Source organism: Homo sapiens, chromosome 1 (assembly GCF_000001405.40).
Source record: "Homo sapiens chromosome 1, GRCh38.p14 Primary Assembly".
NCBI classification, from domain to species: Eukaryota; Metazoa; Chordata; class Mammalia; order Primates; family Hominidae; genus Homo; species Homo sapiens.
The window spans coordinates 191,031,750-191,036,705 of NC_000001.11; the positions used below are offsets into that span (position 1 = coordinate 191,031,750).

Below are 4,956 nucleotides of genomic sequence, written 5' to 3' on the forward strand. Positions count from 1 at the left end.
AATGTTGTAAAAATGGCGAAGGGGCAAAAGTAATTTATAGATTCAATGCTGTTCCCATCGACTACCTTTGACATTCTTCACAGAATTTGAAAAAAACTACTTTAAACTTCATATGGAACCAAACAAAGGCCCTATAGCCAAGACAATCTTAAGCAAAAAGAACAAAGCTGGAGGCATCACACTACCTGACTTCAAACTATACTACAGGGCCATGGTAAACAAAACAGCATGTTACTGGTATCAAAACCGATATATAGACCAATGGGACATAACAGAGACGTCAGAAATTACACCACACATTTACAACCATCTGATCTTTAACAAACCTGACAGAAACAAGCATTGGTGAAAGGATTCCCTATTTAACAAATGGTGCTGTGAGAACTGGCTAGACATATGCAGAAATCTGAAACTGGACTCCTTCCTTACACCTTATACAAAAATTAACTTAAGGTAGATTAAACACTTAAATGTAAAACCCAAAACCATCAAAACCCTAGAAGAAAACCTAGGTAATATCATTCAGGACATAGGCATGGACAAAGATTTCATGACAAAAATGCCAAAGCAATTGCAACAAAAGCCAAAATTGACAATGGGATCTAATTAAAGTAAAGAGCTTCTTAACAGCAAAAGAAACTATCATCAGAGTGACAAGGCAACCTACTGCATTAGAGGAAACTTTTGTAATCTACCCATCTGACAAAGGTCTAATATCCGGAATCTATGAGGAGCTTAAATACAAAAGAAAAAAACAACCTCATCAAAAAGTGGGCAAAGGGTAAGGACAGACACTTCTCAAGACATTTATGTGGCCAACAAACATACAAAAACAAAAAAAAAGGCTCATCATCACTGATCATCAGAGAAATGCAAATCAAAACCACAATGAGATACCATCTCATGCCAGTCAGAATAGCAATTATTAAAAAGTCAAGAAACAGTAAATGCTGGTGAGGCTGTGGAGAAATTGGAATGTTTTTACACTGCTGGTGGGAATGTAAATTAGTTCAGCCACTGTGGAAGACAGTGCAGCAATTCCTGAAGGATCTAGAACCAATAATACTATTTGACCCAGGAACTGGGTATATACCCAAAGGAATATAAATCATTCTACTATAAAGACTCATGCACACGTATGTTTATTGCAGCACTATTTACAATAACAAAGACATGGAACCAACCCAAATGACCATCAATGATAGACAGGCTAAAGAAAATGTGGTTTTAAGTCTAACATTTAAGTCTTCAATCTATCTTGAATTAATTTTTGTATAATGTGTAAGGAAGGGATCCAGTTTCAGATTTCTACATATGGCTATCCAGTTTTCCCAGCACCATTTATTAAATAGGCAATCCTTTCCCCATTTCTTGTTTTTGTCAGGTTTGTCAAAGATCAGATGGTTGTAGATGTGTGGTATTATTTCTGAGGGCTCTGTTCTGTTCCATTGGTCTATATCTCTGTTTTGGTACCAGTACCATGCTGTTTTGGTTACTGTAGCCTTGTAGTATAGTTTGAAGTCAGGTAGTGTGATGCCTCCAGCTTTGTTCTTTTGGCTTAGGATTGTCTTGGCAATGCAGGCTGTTTTTTGGTTCCCGCACGTTGTGCACATGTACCCTAGAACTTAAACTATAATAATAAAAGAAAAAGAAAATGTGGTACATATACACCATAGAATTCTATGCAGCCATAAAAAGGAATGACATCATGTCCTTTGCAGAGACATGGATGAAACTGGAAGTCATCATCCTCAGCAAACTAACACAGAAAACCAAACACTGAATGTTCTCACTCATAAGTGGGAGTTGATCAGTGAGAACACATAGACAGAGGGAAGGGAACAGCACACACCTGGGCCTGTCAGGGGACAGGGGCAAGGAGAGGGAGAGCATTAGGACAAATAGCTAATGCATCAGGACTTAAAACTTAGAAGACGGGCTGATAGGTGCATCAAACCACCATGGTAGATATATACCTATAGAACAAACCTGCATGTTCAGCACATGCATCCCTGGAATTAAAGTTAAAAAAAAAAAAAAGACTGGTGTGGTGGTGCATGCCTTTAGTCCCAGCTACTCAGAAGACAGAGGCAGAATCACCTGAGTCCAGGAGTTCCAGGCTACAATGAGCTATGATCATACCACTGCACTCCAAAAATACATAATAAATTAAATTAAATTAAATTAAATTAAATTAAATTAAATTAAATTAAATTAAAAAAATACCAAACTGACTGCCCTCAAGAACTTTATAATCCATATAGCAAGTGAAAAACCTTTTTTAATGAATTCAGGATTTGAAAACACTTGAGTGAAATAAACAAGGTAGACAAATATAATAATGGGGCATGAGATATTTTGAAACTATTAAATAGCTATACAGGGCTTGGCATGGTGGCTCAGGCCTTGTAATCTCAGCACTTTTGGAGGCCAAGGCAGGCACATCACTTAAGCACAGGCGTTCAAGACCAGCCTGAGCAACATGGCGAAACTCCATCTCTACAAAAAAATGTAAAAATTAGCCAGGCATGACTGTACCTGTCTGTAGTCCTAGTTACTCAGTAGGCTGAGACAGGCCAAACATTATAGAGCCTGGGAGGTCATGGCAGCAGTGAGTGATGATGCCTGTACTCTAGTCTGGGTAGCCTGGGTGACAGAGCAAAAAAAAAAAAAAGTTTGAAAGATTACAGAGAGAAAGAAAGATAAGGAGAGACTCAATTCAATGGAGTGAATAGACATAATGTTTTCATAACTTGTTTATACAAGCACTCCTAAAGCAGAAGAAAGTAAATATTTTTGTCCTATACCCACTCAACTTATATGCACTCAGTATTACATAGGATTTTGTATTATTTTGCACCTGGAATTATCCATTTCTAAGCCTGAAATATATTTTTATTATAAATTGTCTTTTAAAAATGTATGCCAGTATTTACACATCTATCTCACAAAAAGCATTTAATGTTTTACATGATCAACTATAAAATATAACCAATGTCTTAAATTTATTCTGTGATTTTTTTAAGACTCTGGAAAATCTGATAGATCACCAAGAGAATACATGTCGAATTTTAAATAGAAAAGGAATACAATGTAAAGAGCGCGTTTAGTTATTTGTTGTTGCACCAAAGACTGTAACTATAAGGAGAAAGACTTCTGAAATGGCAGAGGGAGGGCCTCCATAAATCTGATTCTCCATAAATGCAACAAAAATACTGACAAAATGGCCAATATCAACTTATTCAGAACTATGGAAATTAAGCAGTCTTAGAGTCTGAGGAGTGTTTTTTCAAGAAAAAGTGCTGAACTGCTGAACGGAGGGATTTTATAACATTTTAACATAGCCTACTCTCCTTTTGCATCTCCATAGTGTCTTTAAATATCAGCAGCCTTGCTACTACAGTAGCTGTGAACACTAGCAGTATTAAAATCAAGTTAGTAATTCCACTATTACTGCAAATTTTGGTCTAACCAAGTAAATATAAAGAAAGATGAAAAATATTAAAAGTATTACGTATTAAACTCCATGACAGATCATGGAATTTAATCTTAGTTTTCTACCTTTTTCATTTATTATTATATAATTGTGACCCTGCAGATGTATCTTAGAATTAATAGACATTAATTACTTTCTGACAAAGTTGTCTTTGAACTATTATCCAGAAATCTAAATCCTTGACATTGCTTTGCATTCTTTGTGGCTGTAACCTGTATTTCTCAAAACAGTTATAGAGTCCAAATTTATCACTCTCTCATTGACTTATGTAACTTTCCTCTTGGGTAATAATCTACTACAGAATTGTACATCTCAGAATGCTGACTGGGGGTAAAAATGGCCCGTCTAATAACTTTGGGTGGAGAGTTTCCAAGGGATTCCAAAAATATATATCTAAAAGGTAAGAAACTTTTATAAAGCAGTGTGGAGGGATAATATCAACGATAAAATTAGCTTCTTCCTTCCTGCTTGGCTTTTAGTAAAATGTGAGCTGATGAGTTCTAGGTAAAGAAATCATACTTCCACACAACTATACTTGAAAGGTTACAATGTGAAAATGGAAGTTACCTGTTAAAAAATCTGATTATGAGGCTCCCTAATAGCTCTGCAAATAGTCATTTTAAGACAGGGTCAGAAATATAAAAAGGTAGAATTGTTACCCTCGTGGGAAGAAGTTGTGAGCTATAACAATTACAAAATGCTTACTGCTTTTATCCCCGCAAAAATCGCCTACCATAACTGCTACCAAATAAAGCTCTAATGAGCACTGACTGAGAAACAGAAGCAACATTGTGTTATTTAGTTCTTGCAACAACCTCATTAGGTAGTACTATTATTGTCACTACCTATAATGAAGAAATACATGTATATAGAGATTTACTAACTTTAAGTTTAATGCTAGTAAATTTGGTGGAGCTAAGACTTGAAACCAGGTGGTTTAAATCCAAAATCTATGCTTAAACAACCATGTTTTATTAGCTCCCTAAGTAGATCGTCAATTGGAAAAAGAAAGTTATTGTTTACTAAACTCTCCATGTCTCTTTGCACTATATTTGATGCTTAACTTGTAACTATTCAGCAAAAGATTCATTTCACAATTACATGTACCCTTTGCTGAATAAAATAAAGTATCATATAAATCAGTTTTTTGCATTCTAATTTCACAGAGCTTTAGATTTGTTAGTTTATTTGTTAAAAACATGAGAAATTCTTAGATCCTCTTTAACAATTCAGATGAAAATTAAAATATTTATTAAAACAAAGTTGTGTCCATGTTATTTTTATGTGTGTGTAATAGTGTAACAACATCAAAGTTAGTTTAATATCGCTTCATTTGCTTTACTTACATTTTCAGGACTTGCAAGAATTTCAAAACCAGACATACCTTTCAACTGTATAAGCACCTTTTCATTTAACATCCATCCTCTTTTAAGAGTCATAGAATATGTACTACTACTATC

General features: G+C 35.0%; 1 annotated feature.

The window, feature by feature from the left end:
- Nucleotides 2,417-2,617: a silencer, noted in NCBI's record as "peak588 fragment used in MPRA reporter construct". NCBI's record gives its function as "represses an SCP1 promoter by STARR-seq MPRAs in K562 erythroleukemia cells {active_cell/tissue: K562}" and the evidence as "EXISTENCE:reporter gene assay evidence [ECO:0000049][PMID:32103011]".